This window comes from Homo sapiens, chromosome 19 (assembly GCF_000001405.40).
Source record: "Homo sapiens chromosome 19, GRCh38.p14 Primary Assembly".
Lineage (NCBI taxonomy): Eukaryota > Metazoa > Chordata > Mammalia > Primates > Hominidae > Homo > Homo sapiens.
This window is the reverse complement of record NC_000019.10, coordinates 51,310,288-51,331,275: the sequence shown is the minus strand read 5'-3', so window position 1 is coordinate 51,331,275 and position 20,988 is coordinate 51,310,288. Positions and strand designations below refer to the sequence as shown.

The window sequence follows — 20,988 nt, the reverse complement described above, 5'->3', positions numbered from 1 at the left end:
CTCATGGGGTGGGAGGGAAGCTTTCCTGGAAACCTACAAGCAAATTTCCATTTATGTCTCTTTGGCCCAAACTGGCCACATAGCTGCAAAGGAGGCTAGGAAACCAGATATCTAGCCTGTATCATAACACGTGGATCTGCCAGCGAAGAAGAAAGGGGAACCAAACAACTCAAATGTGGGCAACCAGCATCTGTCTCAGGGAAGGAAAGCATGTGAGAGAATTTCTGGTTAATGATTGGGGGTAGAAAAGGCCATTGGAAAATAGAACCCCTGGATCCTTTTGGAAAGGTGAGGGTTGGGGTTCTGGGCCTTCTATGTCTCTTCTGTATCTATTATGGTTTTCATTCTCTTTTTTATTACTAGAGATAGAAAATCCAATGCAAATTGGTTTAAATATACAGGGGACTTTATTGCTTATATAAGTGAAAATGGGCATCAGTTAAGTTTTGATCCAGCTGCTCAAATGATATATAATCATGGACTCAGTTTCTCTAAGGTTTCCACTCTGCCCTTCACAGTGTTCCTATCCTTCTCAGGCTCCATATGCTGTCCTCCCCACCATTGCTATCCCCACAGAGCCAAGATCTCTCCATGTGATGGAGAAAAGCAACCCTACAGATGTTGACTTCACATCACGGAGCCACAATATCCAGCAGAAAAGCATCTCTTCTTGGGAATCCATTCACTTTCTCATTAGCCTTACTGGGTCATGTGCCCATCTCTGAGCCAATCACGGTGGGAAATGGGCTATGCTGGGTGTCTTCGGCCAATCACAGGGCATCTCTGTAATGAGTCCATTCCAAGTCTACCAGTGAGAAAGTAGGCGGTAGGAATGATGCTGGAGAGGCACCACCAATTGACTGCTACCCTTTGCCCTTCATTAACTCTAATCCTTAATGACATTGACACCTGCAGGCAGACTTTGGAAAAAGGCGTTTATTGGTGTGGTGGTCTCAACACTCCCCATGAATTGGAACACATGGCCCCCAGGGCCCCCCACCCCCTCCCTAGCATCCCTCCCCTGTCCCACCCCATCCCCTGGACCCTGGGAATGGAAGACAATGTGGGATGGGGCCCATGCCCCCGTCTGAGGTACAGTCACTGCGCCTTGCCCTCTCCTTTTCTCCACCAGACTCTGGGTGGTGTGGTTTGGGGTGGGTGTTTATATAGAGGGTCTCCTGGGAGTCGGAGTTGGTGACATGGCATCTTTGTCTGGGCTCAGGATGTCTGTGTGATGCCTCTCTGTCCCCCACTTTGTGTGGTGTGGTGTACCAGGGTGGAGTGTTCCTACAGTCAGAGCTGAGGCTGCGGCCTCTCAGCGTCCCTTCCTGACACCAGATGCCTACCCAGGGGGAAATACAGCTAGTCACCAGCTACCGGACAGCTGGAGCCAGGGGGCTATTGCTGGTCACAGTCGCTGGTGTGTGTGTGTGTGTGTGTGTGTGTGTCTGTGTGTGTGTATGTGTGTGTGGTGCGTCTGAGTGTCTGTGAGGGCGGTCAGGTAGCCTTTGGGAGGTACAGTTGGTGGAGAGGCCAGGAAGTGATAGACCAGCAAGCTCACACCTGTGGGCCAGCTGCAAAGGCCCCAAGGGCAGCTGGCTGGTGCCGCAGGTGGGGAAATCAAGGCCAAGGGGAGTGGTGGCAAGGGTAGGGCAAAGCACTGAAACAGACAGGTGACTCCTGCCACCAGTCTGACAGTTGGATGGAAGCACCGATTGGCCCAGGAGGGGGCCAGAAAATCCAGGGTGTGGAGGGACAGGAAAAGTGGGAAGGTCTCAGGCCACTGAGCCAGCGATGGGGCCTCTGGCTACAGGAAGCTGGTGGTTGACAGCAGGGAAGCCCAGAGCCTAGATGGAGGTCCCCCACTTACTCACAAAGGCTGAATGACAGCTTGACAGGTGAGTGCGATGCCCCTCCCCACTCCCAACCTGCCAGGAGTTGCCCTTTCGACAGGGGGAGGGGTAGTGTGCGTGCATATATTGGGGAAGCAGGGAGCCTGGTAAGCCTCTCTTCACAGCTTCCACTGCAGAGCCTCATACCTACCTCCAGCCAGAGGTGAGAGGCAATAGGGTTGGGGACAGTGGACATGGGGGTTTTGGGGGCGGGAGGACGGCTGAGTCCCTTCCCCCAGCCCACCCCCCCACACACACACAAACAGAGACACAGACACCTACACATGCATGCAGGCTCACACTCACACACCCACACCCACACAAGCCAGTTGACAGCCTGAGCTAAGAGAGAGGGGTATGGGGTGGCGGGAGTGGGTCACAATCGGAAACGTGAACGGGTGGCGAGAATGGCTGTAGAAAGATGCATAATTTTGCGTTATCCCTCACAGTGATGGGTTCTCTGAAGATCTTTCTTCCTCTGCCTCCTCCTCTTCTCCTCTCTCTTCTTCCTTGGTGGCCGAGAGCTCTTCTGCCCCCACGAGACCCACGGCTCTTGCTCCCCCGTTTCTCTCACTCTTGGCCTGAGGCCCCCTGCAGGGGGAGGTGAGCTCCACTGGGTTGCGCCTACATTCTCCACCACAGCCAGCCCAGGGCGGAGAGGAGGGCCAGGAGCCCTGGGGGCCTCGGGGCTGAGTTCTCCAGGGATCCTGGGCCTGGGGGAAGAGAAGGGGTCATGGAGGGAGGCCTGAGAGTGGGGAACCCCATGTGTGTCTCTCCAGGGGCCCCATCTCTTCTGAGCCCACTCTTTAGCGTCCTTTCTGGATCTCTCATTGGGTGTGCCTGCTTTTCTGACTCTGTTTCTTTTTTTTTTTTTTTTTCTTTTTTTGAGACGGAGTCTCGCTCTGTCACCCAGGCGCAATCTCGGCTCACTGTAACCTCTGCCTCCCAGGTTCAAGCAATCCTCTTGCCTCAGCATCCTGAATAGCTAGGACCACAGGTGCCCATCACTACGCCTGGCTAATTTTTGTATTTTTTTTTTTTTTTGGTAGAGACATAGTTTCACCATGTTGGACAGGCTGGTGTCAAATTCCTGACTTCAGGTGATCAGCCCGCCTCGGCCTCCCAAAGTGCTGGGATTTACAGGCGTGAGCCACCACGCCCGGCCTCCAAAATTATTTTTTGTTTATGTATGTGTTTGCTTATTTACCTACATGACCACTTGTTTATTGCTTTTCTACTCCTACTAGACTATAAGCTCTGCGAATCCCCAAACCTTGTTTCTTTTGTGCACAGCTGCGTCCCCCACGACAAACCCTTAGCTGGCACTCAATGAATATTGATTGCGTGGATCGGTTTCTTACTCGCATTGCTTTTCAGTCTCAGCGTCCATCTCCTAAGTTCAGGGCCAGCCTGAAGGGCGGTCCCGGCGTCTCCACTTCCCTAGCCCCGCCCCCGGCCCCGCCCACCTTCCCGGCCCCGCCCCGCCCGAAGACGCACGCAGGAGCCGCATGGAGGCGCTGGACGCTCCCAGTCGGTTGGCGGCGCGACACGTATAGTTGCCGTAATGCCGGGCGCTCACGTTGGCAAAGAGAAGCATCGAGCGGGTGCGCTCCGTCTGCACCTTCAGGCCTTCGGCCGTGCCGCTGCTCAGCCTGCCAGGGATCCGGGTCAGGGGCCGGGCCGCAGCGCCCAGCCAGGCCAGCCCCCCGACTCTCAGGCTCCTCCGTTCCCCGGTGACCCAGCATTCTGCCCCCTACCCCAGTGACCCATCGCCTCGGGTTCTAGCACCTCATGTACCTCGGGTCACTCCCACCGCCGCCCCCCTCCAGGCACCCTGGCCTCTCAGGACTCTGGACTCTCCCGTAGTGCACCCCTAGTCGTTAGGGACTCCTGAACTCTGCTGGTCCCCTAAATCTTGCCCGACAGATCCTCAGCATTGACCCCCGACCCCTGGCCAGCTCCCTGAAAAGTCCGGGGAGACGGGGTTCCAGCATTCATCAAGCGGGGACCCAAGCTTGTCTCCGGGGCTGGACAGATCCCATCACCTAGAAGCTGGACGCCCCAGGTTCGGGACCCAGAGCTCTGCTGCCTTCCCCCGCCCCGCTCCGTCCCCCTGCCTCACAATCGAAGGGACTAAAGACCTCCCCTTCCCGCTCCCACGGCCCCCTCAGTGCTGTCCTCACAGTCTGTCATCCTTGTACCACTGGAAATCCGCGGGGGGAACCGCCATGGCTTCGCAGCGCAGGAGGGCGGCCCGGCCCAGCGCGGTGCGGGCGCTGGTCACGTCCGTGATGGTCGGAGGATCTGGCGAGGGGCAAGGGTCAGCGAATTCTCCTAGCCGCGTGGGGACGAAGGGGTCCCGCCCCCAGCCCCCGCCTCCCTCAGGCCCGTAAGTCTCGCCCCCGCTTCCTCTTCCCCCAGATCCCTCCTCCCCAGGGACTCGGGGGTCCGCCACCCTTTCGTGCCCAGTGCCAGGGGGGCTCACAGTTGACTGTGACCAGCACGCGGCGGCTGTCGGGCGCCGAGTTAACCCCGTTGTGAGTCACGCACTCATACTCCCCGGCCTGGCCCCGCTGGATGTCAGAGATCTCCAGGATCTCTCCCTCCGAGGTGAAGCCGTCTGTGGGGGGAAGGAGGAGGAGGGGGCGGGGCCGGACACAAACACTTAACACGGGACAACACGGGCACAACACGGACACACATCAGCGGGGCGGGCACGGCAAGGCCTGGAGTGCCCGGGTCAATGGGGGTGGGGTGGGGGAGGGGCTGCAGGGCCGGGGGCCTGGGATCTCTCCAGCTGGGGGTGGGGGAAGGAGTGAGGTCTGGGACTCAGTTCCTGGAACCCAGTGGGGTGGGTTAGAGAATCTAAGGGTTCAGGAGATCCCTCCAGGAATCTGACTCAGATCATGGAGCTCCGTGGGGAGGACCCCAATGGGGAGGGGGATCCCAGGATGTTAGGTCTCAGAAGGATCTAGCAAATACAGAACCAGTGGGGCAGGGTCCCTCGTTCTGGGATCTGATTCATGGGGTCTAGGGAATCAGGATCTGGTGATTGGGATCAGCAATCCAAGTATATGGGGGTCTCATAACACAGCAGCAGTCTCAGAAGACCCTCTGGGACTTAGGGCATCCAGAGATTCCCAGATGTCAAGACCAGGCTCATGGGGCTCAGATGACCCAGTGGGGTAAGATCCAGGGATTCAGGGAATGGGATCTAGTGACTGGCACCATGGGTCTTCAAAGACCCTGAGAATGAGGATCCAGGGATCTGGGATCTGGTGGTGGAGATCCACATAAAAGGGCTGGTGGGTGATGTCTAGGACCTGGACTGTCATATATGGGCACTCTGGCGCCGTTTGTGGGTAACCTTGAGCACTGGTTCTTGGGGCTTGTGGAGCGAGAGGGAGCTTTGGATTTAGCAGGTCTTGGTTGGAGCCTGGGAAAGTGCATTCCTGGCAAGTTCCCAAGGTATGCTGATGCTTCGGGTCTGGGGCCCACACCATGAGGCCCGCTGGGCTAGAGCGTCCAGCAGAAGAGAGAGGCAGAGATGTACGCAGGACCGCTGGTGCAGCCTGGCTTAGGGCACCTAGTGGCAGGGGATCTCAGCCCAGGAGAATGCTGTGAGCGCGTGGGGAGACATCGGGGACACTGGGGTTGGGGAAGTGACGCAGGCTGGGGTTTGGCAAGTGACGCAGAAGCAGTGGCCCAGGCCTAGGACGGCAGGTGGAAAGCCAGTGGTGACGCCTCTTAGGTCTGGGGTTTGTGGTCTGTGGATGAAATAACTGGAAGCAGAGTGGGAGGGGAAGCCAAGGGGCCAGGGAGAAGGGGGCTGGGGAAACTAGCTAGGGATATGGGGAATGGAGGGGCCCAGACTGCGCAGTGGGGGACGGGGCTTTTGACCTGGGATGGGGTCCTCACCTCGGAGCTGTCTCCAGGTGACCGTGGGCTCTGGCCGCCCCACGGCCAGGCAAAGCAGGTTCACATTGCCCCCCTCATTCACCGTCACAGGCGACGAGATGTTCACAATGCGGGCAGGGACTGCGGGCAGCGGCAGAGGCTGAATATGGATGCCCAGGAATCCAGGCCCCCAGCCCTTCCTCCTTCAGACCCAGGAGTCCAGACCCCCAGCCCCTCCTCCTCCCTCAGACCCAGGAGTTCAGACCCCCAGCCCCTCCTCCCTCAGACCCGGGAGTTCAGACCCGCAGTTCCTCTTCCCTCAGACCCAAGAGTCCAGTACCCCAGCCCCTTCTCCCTCAGACCCAGGAGTCTCTGCCTTTTTCTCTGAAACCTCTGTCTGGGCCTGGCATCTTCTTGTCTAATTGCTGGTCTTGTCTCTATTCTCTCTCCACCTTCATCCTAACTTGGTTTCTCCATCTTGGGGTCTGAATTCCTCTCCCCGTCTCTATTTGTATTTATTATTATTTTAAATAAATTTATTTAACAAATACCCACATGGGACTTTCTGTGTAACAGATGCTATTCTAAGTGCTTTACCCAAATCCACTGATTAGATGCTCACTACCAGCCTCTGGGGTGGATGTTACTGTATTTCATCAATTCTAAGTCATCTGTGCTTTCCACTCCCCTCTCCCATTTGAACATTTCTCCAAGCAGGATGGCCCTCGAGATAGGATGCCAGGGTATCGCTGGCAGTGTTTTTGTTTTTTCTTTTCTAGTAGGGCATAAAATAAAAGTAGCTCTTCTAATTGACGACGTCTGGGATTTGACATATGACAGCACCATCCCCATTTTGCAAAGGAGTCCCGGGCCTCTTCCCTGCTCAAGGTCCCTGGGCTGGTGGACGGTGGCACTGAGGTTGGAACCCAGGCAGTCTGGCTCCAGAGTTGGAGCTTGCCAGGATCCCCCTGGATTCTCTCTGTCTCCAGGTCCTGTCTCTCCAGGTGCTCCCTACCCTCCACCATTTCAGATGCCCTCTGCCTCTCGCCTCACTGTGGAGCTCTCCAGCCCCATCTCTCCTGCTCTGGATCTGGCGCTTCCAGCCTCATGAGACTTCCCTTTGCACACTTGGCTCATCTTCTTGCCTGGCCCTGCACACACTGTTTCTTTTCCGGTCTTAGCCCTGTGCCCAGCCAAAGGCGTCAGCTCAGACGTCACGTCTGGGAAGTCCTCTCTGAGCCTGTCCTCAGAAAATCAGCTCCCAAGGTGTGGGGACAGCCTGCCTTGTTCTGTAGATCAATGCTTACACAGAGTAGGCCCTCCAGGAATGGGGCTGAACAAATGAACGTGGTCTTCCCCCAAGCACCCCCTCATCCCTGTAGCTCTCCTGCCCTAGAAGCAATCATGTTGATGCGTCACTGTCTGTGTAACTGGCCCCCTTCTGCTGGGCTGAAATCCCCAAGGGCAAGGCTGTGTCTGTCTTTCTCGCTATGTATCCCTGGGGTTGGGGAACACGTGGTATCTGTCATCATGCCTAGTCTCCCCCACGCTCTCAACCCCTCCACCCAGCCAGGCCCCGGCCAAGGGCTCACCGTGGACAATGAGGTAGACCTGAGTGGTGTACGGCTGGTGGCGGGTCTGGAAGGAGCAGGTGTAGAGGCCCTCGTCGCCGAGCCCCACCTCGGTGATGAGGATGGAGAACTCCTCGGGGGTGTTGATGAGCAGCCGCACCCGCGGGTCGCTGGTCCAGCGGTCATTGCCGGCATACAGGATGTTGGAGCGGTTCAGCCAGGCCACGCGGGTCACGTGCTCGTCGATGAAGCAGCTGCAGGGAGAATGAGTGGGAAGGTTTTTCTCCACCCACCCAGCCTGAGGCTTCCCCCACCGAGGGGGTGGGTGGGAGAAGGAGGCCACCGCATCTCCAGGTCCCACCACAGCCCTGTGAGGCGGATGCTGCTGTGCCCACCATACAGCTGGGGGTAAGTTGAGCCTCAGGGAGGGAAAGCTGTGAGCCCAACTGCAGAACGGAACAATAGCTCGTGGTTATTGAGTGATCGTGTGTGTCAGAGACACAAAAAGGGGAGAACAGAGAATCTGGGAGAGAGGAATAGAGATGCAGAAGGAAGGAGAAAGAGACCTAGAGAGAGGGACAGAGACCCAGAGAGAGGGACAGAGACCCAGAGAGAGAAGGACAGAGACACACACACACACAGAGGGACAGAGACCCAGAGAGAGAGAGAGACACAGAGACCCAGAGACAGAGGGGGACAGAGACCCGGAGAGAGAAAGAGAGAGAGAGAGAGACCCAGAGAGAGAGCTACAGAGACCTAGGGAGAGGGGGATAGAGACCCAGAAAGAGAGGGGGGCAGAGACCCAGAGAGAGGGGACAGAGACTCACACACACACAGATACAGACACCCAGAGAGAAAGAGACAAAGACCCAGAGAGAGGGGGACAGAGACCCAGAGACAGAGGGGAACAGAGGCCCAGAGAGAGAGAGACAGAGACCCAGAGAGAGGGGGACAGAGACCCAGAGACAGAGGGAGACAGAGACCCAGAGGCAGAGGGGGCAGAGACCCAGAGACAGAGTGGGACAGATACCCAGAGAAAGAGAGAGGAGAACAGAGACCCAGAGAGAGAGGGACAGAGACACACAGAGAGAGGGGTACAGAGACCCAGAGAGAGAGGGGGGCAGAGACCCAGAGAGAGAGAGGGAAAGAGACCCAGAGGGAGACTCAGAGAGAAGGGGACAGAGATCCAGCAGAGAGGGACAGAGACACACACACAGAGAAGGACAGAGACCCAGAGACAGATCCAGAGAGAGGGGGACAGAGACCCAGAGAAAGAGGGGGGACAGAGACCCAGAAACAGAGAGAGAGAGAGAGAGCAAGCGAGAGAGAGAGAGAGAGAGAGGCGTGGAGAGAGGGGGGAACAGAGACCAGGGTGAGGAGAGGTGGAGACCTGGGGAAACAGCAACCCTGTCCCTCTCTGCTGGATCTCTGTCCCCTTCTCTCTGGATCTCTGTCCCCTTCTCTCTGGATCTCTGTCCCCTTCTCTCTGGATCTCTGTCCCCTTCTCTCTGGGTCTCTGTCCCTCTCTCTCTCTGGGTCTCTGTCCCTCTCTCTGTGTGTGTCTCTGCCCCCTCTCTCCACCCCTTTGACAGATGGGGACACTGAAGCCGAGGGGGAGCCAGCTCATAGCTGTGTCGCTACTGAGGGGGAATGTGGAGCCCAAGTCTTCCCATCCCAGGCTGTTCCTGTAACCAGGATCCCCACCCAGGAAGGTGAAGGGGCAGGACCGCATGGCTCCATGAGATCTGAGTCCCCACCCACCGAGGGAGGTACCTGAGGGTGGCGTTGTCACCTTCACACACTGTGTAGTTGTCGGCAGGAGAGTTGAACTCCAGGCTCTGGGAGAGCAGCCCTGTGGAAGGTGGGGGTGGCTCAGCCTTGGCAGCTCAGGCAAGGCCCGGGCATGGTAGCACCTGCACACATGTGCACACGCACGTCCTTGTGGACACAGACGTCTCCTGCACCCGCTGCCACACACATGCACCACACGTGCACACACACGTCCTTGCGGACACAGACGTCTCCTGCACCCGCTGCCACACACATGCACTGATGTTTTCAGAGATACACACACAGCAGACACAATCACAGCAGACACATGCAACATGTATCTTCCCATGAGCCCACACAGACTCACAGACTCAGATGGGTAGGTGTCCATGGACATACAAACCTACACACCTCCAGAGATGCAGAGACAATCGTAGCACACAAACACACACATACAGATACACACAGATGCATGTGTACACAGACACATATATATACAGAGACATATGTACAAACATATACATGCAGACACATGTACACATAAGACATACACACAGACACATATACACAGACACAGATACCTGTGTACACAGAACACATACATTCACAGATACAGAGTACAGCGACACACATACCAATATGAGCAGATTAACAATTACATAGATACGGCCAGGTGCGGTGGCTCACACCTGTAATCTCAGCATTTTGGGAGGCCGAGGTGGGAGGATTACCTGAGACCAGGAGTTCGAGACCAGCCTGGCCAACATGGTAAAACCCCATCTCTACTAAAAATACAAAATATTAGCCGGGTGTGGTGGAGCACGCCTGTAATCCCAGCTACTCGGGTGGCTGAGGCAGGAGAATCACTTGAACTCGGGAGGCGGAGGTTGCAGTGAGCCAAGATCACGCCATTGCACTCCAGCCTGGGCAACAAGAGCGAAACTTGGTCTCAAAAAGAACCCCAACAATTACCATAGATACATATACATATGCAGAGATATGTACACACATCCACACATGGTCTACACGCACAGACATATACACAGGTACATCAACACACAGATACTTGCATACACAGAACACTTATGCACAGATACATGTATACACACATACACACACACAAATACACATGTACATGGGCACACAAATATTCATAGGTACGGTATACAGACACACATGTACCTATGCAAAGATGAGCGCATAGTATATATGCATACACACAGAAACACACATATATACGTGAATACACACAAATATATACACACAGGCCCACAAGTACACAGATGCACACGTACATTAACTCAGAAATGTACCGAAGGCATACACATAAAACCAGATGCATGTAGATAACACATATATGTAACAGACCTGCAGACACACAGATATGAACACGTGCGCACAGAGATCCACATGTGTACATTCTCAGACACACATCCATCACAGATGCACAAATACACCCTCACACACACACAAACCTTTGCAGACACACACATCTACACAGGCACACTGTGTGCTCAAGTTTGCCAGGGCATGCTTGCAGGTGTGAGCCCATGCCCACTCGCACACTTCAGCACAGCAGGCAGGCTCCGTCACCCCCACGCAGTCATCTCTCTGTAGACCGTGGCCAGCGGGCTGGACCAGGGCCAGGGAGTGGGGGCTGGGCATGCGGAGGCGGTGGAGCTGGCACCAGGCGGAGAGGGAGGAAGGCCGGCTGGATGACCTTGGACTTCTGGAGTGGGAGGGGCCTGCGCGGGGCTGCCCTGCCCCCAGCCCAGACGAAGAGCTAATTAATATAATGAATTAATGGCCCGTGCTGCCCCAATGACTCCCGGGGGCCCTCTCCATCAGCAGCCCCACAGGATGGGGCCAGGACGGAGCCAGGTGCAGTGGGTTGGCAGGCTCTGGGGCTTGGGGCTGGGCCCTGCAGCCCCTCACCCTGGGCCCCCTCATGCCAGAGTCACTGCTGGGATTTAAAGAGAATGGAGAGAGGGGGCTCACCCTCCCCGAGCTAAACACAGTGGACACTGCTACACGCAGCCCTGGGAGCAACAGGAGACAGCTTGGGGATGGATGATGGATGCACGCGTGCACGCGCGTGCACACACACACACATACACACACAGGCTTGGACAAGGCACGGAGACCTCTCCAGGCCTAGAAATAGTCCCCACACTTGCTATGTCCTTACCCAGACAGAGAGGTACAGACACAGTCATACAGACACAAACAGCTCCAGCTACACCCATACACACACACACACAAACACATACAATCACACGCATACAAACACAGGAGACAGTCCCACCCTCTCAGTCACGCGCATGGCTGTGGACCCGCTCAGAGGGACAGGTGTGTATATACAGTGATGCTGACAGACCCAGCTCTGCACAGGCACCCAGCAGCAGGTCAGCTGGAAAGGAGGATCTGTCCCAGGAGCGCTCATATTGTCACATTCAGGCCAAGCAATGCTGCACCCTGAGTCACCCCATCATATACAATAGTTCCCACATGGTTCCATCGACATCAACAGCCCCACACATGGCTGCAAAGTCCACACACAATTACATCCCTTCCCAGGCTGGTGAAGACAGACACACACACACGCTTACTAACCTAACTGGTTACACAGACACCACTGGTGCGAGCACCATGATTCCCAACTTTGCACTTTGGAAGGCCCTGGGTCAGACGCACACAAAGCTACAACCCGTGTAACAAGACAGCAACACTGTCACATCCCCTCAAGCACGAAGGGGCCACGCTGGGCCGAGAATCAGGTCATGTTGTCTCCTGTGATCAGATCACACACGGCTGGACGCACACACACACACACACACACACGCACACACACAGGGAATTGGAAAGTCACCAACAAAAACCTGGACCGAACGACGGGTAGTGCCACATTCAGTGCTGCCAAAGAGTCACATGTACGCACCAAGATCCCTTCCTAGGCTGGTGAAAACAGACAGGCACGTACCCTGCCCTATCCCCCAGACACACAGGATTTGCTATGCTCCTGCTGACACACCTTCTGGGCCAGGGTTCCTAAACCTCAGCACGGCTGACATTTGGGGCCAGACTGTCCTATGCAACATAGGAGGTCGGCAGCGTCTCGCTTCTGATCTGGATCCATTTGATGCCCTTCTCCACCACAAATGCCTCCAGACATTGTCAGATGCCCCGTAAGGGGCAAAATCACACACCCCCTTCCCCGTTGAGAGCCATTGTCCTACAGGAACCAAGAAGTGGGGGGAAGAGGGAGCTGTCCAAGGTGCCTACCCTAAGGTTCAGGGGCTCCAGGGCTCCTGAACTCAGCTGCTGATTGAAGCAGGCACTGCCCCCATGAGTTGAGCCCACACACCACTCCAGGCTTCTTGGGGCTTTATTTTTTATTTCTGTTTTTATTTTGAGACAGAGTCTCGCTCTGTTGCCCAGACTGGAATGCAGTGGCATGATCATGGCTCACTGCAGCCTCAACCTCCCCAGCAAAAGCAATCCTCCCACCTCAGCCTCCCGAGTAGCTGGGACTATTGGCATGCACCACCACACCTGGCTACTTTTTTTTTTTTAAGAGACGAGGTCTTGCCATGTTGCCCAGGCTGGTTTCGAACTCCTGGGCTATCCTCCCACCTCAGCCTCTCAAATGTTGGTATTGCAGGCGTGAGCCAGAGTGCCTGGTCAGGGCTTTATTATCTGGTCACTGGGGTGGGAAGTGGACCCTGCAGGGAAGGCAGGACTCCGGGTGCCTCAGGACTTTGTCCATTGCACTCTGATGACTGTCTGTATCTGGCCTCCCTATCAGACTAGAAGTTTCTTGGGGGTAAATCTTGGTTCTGACTCAAGTCTGTGTCCCCAGCATCTCCCAACACTGGGCCTGGCCCACCAGAGGCCTTGGGAAATATTTGTTGAATGGATGAATATAAATGGATGCCTGCAACACTCTTCAACTCTTGAACTCCTACTCATTCTTCAAGACCCCAATGCAAATGTCCCTTGCCCCAGGAGGACCTTTCTGACTGTTCAAGGCAGAGCTCCCACTCCTTCTTCTGGGCACTGTTTGACTTAGCTGAGACAGTGATGAGGAGCTTTGTGATGGCTTGAATCTTAGCTGTGTCCCCCCAGGGTCGAGCCAATCTCAGAACTGGGAAGTGTTTGTGGAAAGGGCATGGATGGTCCTCAGAGACCAGATAATAAATCCCTGAGGAGCTAGGGTTGGAAGATCAAACGTCTGTCCCACCACTTCCTAGCTGGATGACCCCCACTCCTGGCCAGTGTGAGCTTCAGTTTCTCCAACTGTACAAGGTGAAAAATAGTAGTTCTTCCCTGCAAGGGTTTCTGTGAGGGATTCCGTGAGAATATGCAAGCAGAAGTGTCTAGCTCAGCTGTTGGCATTCGGAAAGAACCCAATAAATGCTAGCGGTTCCTAACAGCACCTTCTTTTTTAGGAACCATCTATTGCTATCCCTGGCTTGGCATAGGTCTCCCTAGATGCTCCACTCAGGGGAGCGGGGAGGGCAGGGCTGTATCTGGGCTGTCAGTTGCTCTGAGTCACTGACTCCTGGGCAGACACCCTGGTAAGCATCTACTGATAAAGCCAACCTTGCATAACCAGGGGGCCCAGGGAATGCAGTGTGGCTGCCAGGCAGCTGGGTTCAAGTCCCAGCTCTGCTGCTGAGCCACACAAGTTACTTCACCTCTCTGGGACTCAGTTTCCCCACCTGAAATGGAAATGATAATCATGCCTTCCTCACTGGGTTGTGGGGAGGATTACAAGAGGTAATCCAAGTAAAGGTTCTAGTACAGTGCCTGCCAGTTAAGTGCTTGCAAACAGCCGTCCGTGAGCTGGCTGTTAGGGTGATTATGTGGCAGGCACCGGCCTGTGGCAAGGGAGGTGTCTGGCGGTGATCAGAGGGCTCACTTGTTCCCTGCCCTCGTAGGATTTACAGTCCAGACGCACAGGCCTCATACCTGTTTGATAAACCTGGGAATGAAGGTGGTAGGCAGGTGACTTTTCTTAAGACAGAAAGAGATCCCTAACAAGCTGAGTGACCTTGGGCTGGGGGTGAGAATCTTCTGCCGCCCTGCCAAGGAGCTTAGGCAAAGCTGGAACCCTGAAATGGTTGGCAGGGGTCGGGAGGGTGATACTCTGATTCCACAGTCTCAGAAGACGCAGGTGGGAAACCTGGGAGGTAGGGGGTGGAGGGGCGGGGCATGAGACTGGGGCAGGGAGGAGGGGGTGCGGCTCTGGCTGGGAAAGGCTGTGAGAAGGGGCTGGGCCTGTTATGTCTGGCACCCAGGAGTCCCCAGGAGGGTCCTCCTCCCTTTGCTGACCTCAGAGTTCTGAGGGTTGGCTGGGCATGGTGGTTCACGCCTATAATGCCAGCACTTTGGGAGGCCAAGGCGGATGGATTGCCTGAGGTCAGGAGTTCGAGACTAGCCTGACCAATATGGTGAAACCCCGTCTCTACTAAAAACACAAAAATTAGCCGGGCATGGTGGCATGTGCTTGTAGTCCCAGCTACTTGGGAGGCTGAGGCAGGAGAATTGCTTGAACCCAGGATGCGGAGGTTGCAGTGAGCCGAGATTGTGCCACTGCACTCCAGCCTGGGTGACACAGCGAGACTCCGTCTTAAAAAAAAAAAAAGAAAAGAAAAGAAAAGAAAAACAAAGAAAAAAAAAGAAAAAATCTGAGGGCATTAGCGTCACCGACACCAGGGGAGTCCAGACACTGTGCCAAGAATCCTGAAACTAGACACACCTTTTCTTTCCCTTTGTTTCTTTTCTTTTTTTTTTTTTTTGAGACAGGGTACCACTGTGTCACCCAGGCTGGAATGCAGTGGCACCATCTTGGCTCACTGCAACCTCCACCTCCCAGGCTCAAGCGATTCTCCTGCCTCAGCCTCCTGAGTAGCTGGGACTACTGGTGCGTGCCACCATGCCTGGCTTTTTTTTTTTTTTTTGTAGATATGGGGTTTCCCCATGTTGCCCAGGCTAGTCTTCAACTCCTGAGCTCAGGTGATTCACCTGCCTTGGCTTCCTGAAGTGCTGGGATTACAGGTGTGAGCCACTGCGCCCAGCTTTACCCTCCTTTCTGTTGGTCCCACCTCAAGGTCTTTACCTCTGCTGTCAACTTTGAAAGGTTGACTTCCGGCGGGGCGTGGTGGCTCACGCCTGTAATCCCAGCACTTTGGGAGGCCAAGACGGGCGGATCATGAGGTCAGGAGATCGAGACCATCCTGGCTAACACAGTGAAACCCATCTCTACTAAAAATACAAAAAATTAGCCAGGCGTGGTGGTGGGCGCCTGTAGTCCCAGCTACTTGGGAGGCTGAGGCAGGAGAATGGTGTGAACCCAGGAGGCGGAGCTTGCAGTGAGCTGAGATAGTGCCACTGCACTCCAGCCTGGGCGACAGAGCAAGACTCTGTCTCAAAAAAAAAAAAAAAAAAAAAAAAAGGTTGACTTCCCTCTTCCTTCAGGTCTTAACTCCACTCTCCCCTGCTCAGAGATGGTTTCCTCAACCACTTGAGCTTCAAAGGCCAAGTCACTTTTATCTTCTTTACATTACTCATCACTCTCTGAAATTATCTTTTATTTGTTTGTCTTTAGGTTTTGGTTTTGGTCTTTGATCTCTCTCCATCCCACTATGATCTAAGCTCCGTGAGGACAGTGACTGCCTGGTTCACTCACTGCCATATGTATATATCCAGTGTCTAGAATAGCGGCCCTGGTCCCCAAGAACATTTGCTATATGAACCAACAACCAAGCACAGCCCACAAGCCAGATGAACCTGGAGCTCAGAGGTCCTGGGGAGAGCTAGCTTGTCAGGGGCAGTGCTGGGACTCAAATCTGGGGCTCCTGCCCCCTCCTGACCATCATCACTCTGCTAGCTGCCCCAGAAGCAAAGGAACCACCCACCTCATTTGCTGCTGCAGAAGCGGCCATTTGATTTTGTTGAATTGTTTTAAAATACCACAATGTAGCTGCTTTGTAAATAAATATGTATATGTGAGGGGGTGCGTGTGTGTTGGCATAAAAGATTTAGAAAAGAATTGAAGATAGATGAATATTTATGGATGTAAGGGAGGTATGGTTAAGTGGGAAAAGGCCGATTGCAGAGAAATGGGCTTATTTTGTTTCTATTTTGGGGGAAAAAAATCAACAAACCAACCAATCCATCACTTATGTTGTCCTCTGTGTGTCGTGTCTAAGTCTGCAGAAGTGAGAGAAAGCTATGGAAGGATGCACTCCAGCCACAGACCGGTTCTCTCAAGACAGTGGTTGTGAGAGTGGTGGCAGGGCAGGAGCACAATGGGGTTTGCCCTTATCAGAGGCGGACTGTTTGCAGTGTATTCCTCTTGTAACTTGGACAAGATCATGAATAAAAGAAGAGAGAAGATGCTAGTTTGCATATCTTGCCATAAGCTTTTTTTCCCAGACAGCTCAAACTATCCATGGGTGGGTGGGGGTGTCTTTCTGGCATCTCGTTCTGTCTCAACCCCACCCCATCCCCTCTCGTCCCCAGTTCTCAAAAGGGGAACCTAAGACCAGAGATGGGAAAAGACTTGAGCAGGGTCACAAGCCACCTCCTGGCTCTGCCACAGCTTCCTGCCCCAGTCTAGCCCCGTAATGATTTATAGGGACTTTAAGAATGAATGTGGGGGCCAGACAGTGGCTCATGCCTGTAATCCCAGCACTTTGGGAGGCTGAGGTGGGCAGATCACCTGAGGTCAGGAGTTCGAAACCAGCCTGGCCAACATGGTGAAACCCTGTATCTACTAAAAGTACAAAAATTAGCCCAGCGTGGTGGCACACACCTGTAGTCCCAGCTACTTGCGAGGCTGAGGCAGGAGAATCACTTGAACCCGGGAGGCAGAGGTTGCAGTGAGCTGAGATTATGCCACTACACTCCAGCCTGGCAGCAAGAGTAAAACTCTGCCTCAAAAAAAAAAAAAATAGTGAATGTGAAAAATGGGAAGTTGCAGTGAGAGAGAGAAGGGGAGGGAGAGAAGAAACAGGAAAGTGGGGGAAAGGTCACAAAGGGTACAGGATCAGGGAAAGAAGAGGAGGAAGAAGAAGACAAGAGATAAGGACAAGGAGAGAAAGAAAGAAGAGGTGGCTGGTGCAGTGGCTCACACCTGTAATCTCAGCACTTTGAGAGGCCCAGGTGGGAGGATCACTTGAGGCCAGGAATTTGAGACTAGTCTGGGCAATATAGTGAGACCCCCATCTCTACAAAGAAAAAAAATTAAAAATTAGCCAGGTGTGGTGGCGTGCATCTGTGGTCCCAGCTACTCCAGAGGCTGAGGTGGCAGGATCGCTTGAGGCAGGGAAATTGAGGCTGCAGTGAGCTGTGTATGCTTGCACCACTCCACTCCAGCCTAGGTGAGAAAGTCAGACCCTGTCTCAAAAAAACAAGAAAAAGAAAGAAAAAAAGAGAAGAAAGAAGAAAGAAAGAAAGAAAGAAAGAAAGAAAGAAAGAAAGAAAGAAAGAAAAAGAGAGAGAGAGAGAAAAAGAGAAAGAAGGAAAGAAAGAAAGAAGGAAAGAGAAAGAAGGAAAGAGAAAGAAAAAAGAGAAAGGTAGGTCAGAACAAGAAGGAAATGAATGAGAGAAGGAAATGAGAGAAGTTAATGAAGATTAAGGCATAAGTGAGGAAGCAAGCAAGTATCAAGAGACTGAGTCATGCAATGGGCAACAGTCTGAAAAGCAGAGACAGACAGATGTGGAACTGTGCTGTCAGCAGCAGGGATGGAGAGACAATGACCCAGAGACAGAGGCAGGTGGAAAGTCAGCAGTGGATAACAGAGATGGGAAGGGATGGGAACCTCCAGAAATGGCAGGGACACAAAGACCTAAAGAGATGCATGACAGAGACAGAGACAGGTGGTCAGAAAGTCAGAGGGCGATTCAGACTGGTCAGGTGGGAGACGGGGGAGGACTAGCAAGGGACTGAGGCTGTGGCCCACCAGGTCCCTGCGTCCTGCGTGGATGGGGCTGTGTTTGTGTGACTGGTGTCTGCAGGTGCTGCTTCGGGTGGGACGCTGTGACGGGGTTTCTGTGCCAGACTTGGTCTATGCGGGCGGCCTCTCTGAGACTCTTGGGGACTCTGTCGGGGTTCTTGGTTGTCCCTGGAACTCTTTGTTCAGGGGAGGGCCTGGGGGAATCCTCCAGAAAGTCTGAATTAACCCAGCTCCCTGCCCTCCTGAGCGCCCACCCTCCAGCCTCCTGCCTCCTTGCACTCTCCTCCCTTTTCTTAGGGGGAAATCTAGGAATCTCCTTGACCACCCCCTGCCTGCCAGGCCCTACTGGGGAGACTCAAGGTCCAGCTATCTAACCTCAGTGCAGAAACCTGCCCCTGGCCCTCTCCCCAACTGGGAGGGCCGGGCCGGGCCGGGGTTAACCCTTCAACCTGCTTTAACCCTTCCCTTCCGTCTTTCCTTCATCCTCCCATGCCCATCGCTCTTCCACTGTCCAGCCCCACGAACCTAGACATTCAATCAGAGCTTGGGAATCCAAGACCCCAGCCCAGCACCCCAACTTCCTGTATCTCCAGCTCCCTTCTCCCCCACATAACTGCAACCTCCCCAAGTACCAACACTTTCTCTCAACCTAGATGACCCTGCTGGGGGATTTCAGACCCTTCCCCTCTTTTCCTGACCCTGGGACTAGGTCTGTGGACACCCTTGTCCCCTCCTCTTACTGACCCTGGGAAGGCATCCATCCCCTGACCTCTGTCCCGAGATGACTACCCCAGCCCCCGGCAAGGACCTCTTCAGGGACCCTCTCCACGTACAGATGAAGACCCCTAACAGGGCATTATCCCCTGCCCCCCACCCCAACTCAGTTCGGAGATCCGACCCGGGGACCCCGAGTCCAGTGTCTGCCCCCTCCTCAACAGGAGCCGCAGACTCCTGCCCCCAGGCAGGGCTAGGTGTCTGCGACCCTCTTGCCTGCTCGGGGAAGCAGACCTCCGCCCCTAGACCCGGCTCCGGCCCGAGGACGCCGACCCCTGCCCCGGGGCGCGGACCCCCACGTCCGAGGTCCCCCTGCCCAGCCAGGGAATGCAGACCCCACCCCCGGGCCCAGACCCCGGCGTCCCGGGGCCTCCCCGCGCCGGCCCAGGGATGCAGCCCTCGACCCCCACCCCTGATCCCCCGATTACCCACCCAAGACCCTGGCGTCCCGGCCGAGCCCCCCGCCCCCGGCGCTGCGGTACCTCGGCTGATGACGGCCAAGCCGGCCAGGGCGGCGGCGGCGAGAAGCCGGAGCCGGGCCCCGGGCGCAGGGGGGGGCATCGCGGCAGAGGCGGCGCGGAGGGGGAGGGGAAAGGGGGGGCCGGTCCGGGGCGCGCGAGGCCTGGGGGGAGAGGGGGGAGGGGGAGGGGGACCCCGCCTGCGCTGCACCGGCCCGGGGGGCGGCGGGGGCGGGGGGAGGGGGCTGGGGGGGCGCGACGAGGCGGCTGGAGCTGCTGCAGACCCGGGGAGGGGGGCGGCGCTGACGGGCAGGGAGACCGGCCAATCAGGAGAGGTGGGGGGCCGGGGAGGCGGGGTCAAGGGGGGGTTGCTTGTTGGAGGGAGAGGCCTTTGTTACTGCGGCCCGGCCCCTACCCCTCCCGCCCCAGGCGTCCCCACGTCTTTCCACCACATCCGCAGAACACGGAGTCTGGGATACTTCCTAAAACCCAGCTCCCTCCTCCTTCAAGTCCCAATCTCATCCTCCCATGGACCTAGGAGACTAGCCCCAGTCCCTCCTCTCTCAGACCCAGGAGCCCAGGTCCCCAGCCCCTCCTCCCTCAGACCCTGGAGTCCAGGCCCCCAGCCCCTCCTCCCTCAGACCCAGGAGTCCAGGCCCCCAGCCCCTCCTCCCTCAGACCCAGGAGTCCAGGCCCCCAGCCCCTCCTCCCTCAGCCCAGGAGTCCAGGCCCCCAGCCCCTCCTCCCTCAGACCCAGGAGTCCAGGCCCAGCCCCTCCTCTCTCAGACCCTGGAGCCCAGGCCCCCAGCCCCTCCTCCCTCAGACCCAGGAGTCCAGGCCCCCAGCCCCTCCTCCCTCAGACCCTGGAGCCCAGGCCCCCAGCCCCTCCTCCCTCAGACCCAGGAGTCCAGGCCCCCAGCCCCTCCTCCCTCAGACCCAGGAGTCCAGGCCCCCAGCCCCTCCTCCCTCAGACCCTGGAGCCCAGGCCCCCAGCCCCTCCTCCCTCAGACCCAGGAGTCCAGGCCCCCAGCCCCTCCTCCCTCAGACCCAGGAGTCCAGGCCCCCAGCCCCTCCTCCCTCAGACCCTGGAGCCCAGGCCCCCAGCCCCTCGTCCCTCAGACCCAGGAGTCCAGGCCCCCAGCCCCTCCTCCCTCAGACCCAGGAGTCCAGGCCCCCAGCTCCTCCTCCCTCAGACCCTGGAGTCCAGGCCCCCAGCCCCTCCTCCCTCAGAGCCAGGAGTCCAGGTCCCCAGCCCCTCCTCCCTCAGGCCCAGGAGTCCAGGTCCCCAGTTCCTCCTCCCTCAGACCTAGGAGTCCAGGCCCCCAGCCCCTCCTCCCTCAGACCCAGGAGTCCAGGTCCCCAGTCCCTCCTCCCTCAGACCCTGGAGTCCAGGCCCCCAGCCCCTCCTCCCTCAGACCCTGGAGTCCAGGCCCCCAGCCCCTCCTCCCTCAGACCCAGGAGTCCAGGCCCCCAGCCCCTCCTCCCTCAGACCCAGGAGTCCAGGCCCCCAGCCCCCTCCTCCCTCAGACCCAGGAGGCCAGGCCCCCAGGCCCCTCTTCCTGTGGGCCACAGTTCAGCTTTTCCATCTATTTTCATGGATAACGAAAACACTGACTTTTGGAGTGAAATTTGCTTTTTTCCTCCACCCCAACCCTCATCCCCA

At 56.1% G+C, this 20,988-nt stretch overlaps 1 protein-coding gene across 3 annotated transcripts, besides 3 other annotated features; it reads right to left on the bottom strand.

The window, feature by feature from the left end:
• Window positions 1–384: 384 nt before the first annotated feature.
• Window positions 385–19,632, bottom strand: IGLON5 (IgLON family member 5). 3 transcript variants are annotated; one of them, NM_001101372.3, is made up of 8 exons: window positions 19,350–19,632; window positions 9,134–9,212; window positions 7,382–7,614; window positions 5,811–5,930; window positions 4,378–4,512; window positions 4,076–4,196; window positions 3,390–3,544; window positions 385–2,605 (listed from the first exon to the last, which is right to left on the bottom strand). In NM_001101372.3, exons 1-8 carry the CDS (start codon window positions 19,426–19,428, stop codon window positions 2,517–2,519), a joined length of 1,011 nt encoding a protein of 336 aa, NP_001094842.1. In that variant the 5' UTR covers window positions 19,429–19,632; the 3' UTR covers window positions 385–2,516. The 3 variants fall into 3 exon arrangements, 2 of the variants coding, with proteins under 2 accessions (NP_001094842.1, XP_047294795.1); XR_007066829.1 differs by lacking the exons at window positions 385–2,605; window positions 3,390–3,544 and having other exon boundaries at window positions 4,109–4,196; window positions 4,378–4,556; XM_047438839.1 differs by lacking the exons at window positions 385–2,605; window positions 3,390–3,544; window positions 4,076–4,196; window positions 4,378–4,512 and adding an exon at window positions 4,691–5,659.
• Window positions 2,096–3,018: an enhancer, noted in NCBI's record as "H3K4me1 hESC enhancer chr19:51831512-51832434 (GRCh37/hg19 assembly coordinates)". NCBI's record gives its function as "activates a minimal SCP1, AML or CMV promoter by ChIP-STARR-seq in naive H9 embryonic stem cells {active_cell/tissue: H9 hESC(naive)}" and the evidence as "EXISTENCE:reporter gene assay evidence [ECO:0000049][PMID:30033119]".
• Window positions 8,814–9,313: an enhancer, noted in NCBI's record as "H3K4me1 hESC enhancer chr19:51825217-51825716 (GRCh37/hg19 assembly coordinates)". NCBI's record gives its function as "activates a minimal SCP1, AML or CMV promoter by ChIP-STARR-seq in naive H9 embryonic stem cells {active_cell/tissue: H9 hESC(naive)}" and the evidence as "EXISTENCE:reporter gene assay evidence [ECO:0000049][PMID:30033119]".
• Window positions 10,667–10,961: a silencer, noted in NCBI's record as "tiled region #10915; K562 Repressive non-DNase unmatched - State 20:ReprD". NCBI's record gives its function as "represses a minimal TATA promoter and a strong SV40 promoter by Sharpr-MPRA in K562 cells {active_cell/tissue: K562}" and the evidence as "EXISTENCE:reporter gene assay evidence [ECO:0000049][PMID:27701403]".
• Window positions 19,633–20,988: the final 1,356 nt, after the last annotated feature.

Bases quoted from the DNA above. Each gene is read 5' to 3' on its own strand.
- IGLON5 (NM_001101372.3), bottom strand. From the start codon at position 19,428: ATGCCCCCCCCTGCGCCCGGGGCCCGGCTCCGGCTTCTCGCCGCCGCC. The intron at 4,513-5,810 runs GTGAGGACCCCA...TTCCCCCCACAG, and splicing joins CACCTGGAGACAGCTCCGAG to ACGGCTTCACCTCGGAGGGA. The intron at 2,606-3,389 runs GTGCGTCTTCGG...CTCTTCCCCCAG, and splicing joins CGCCTCCATGCGGCTCCTGC to GCCCAGGATCCCTGGAGAAC.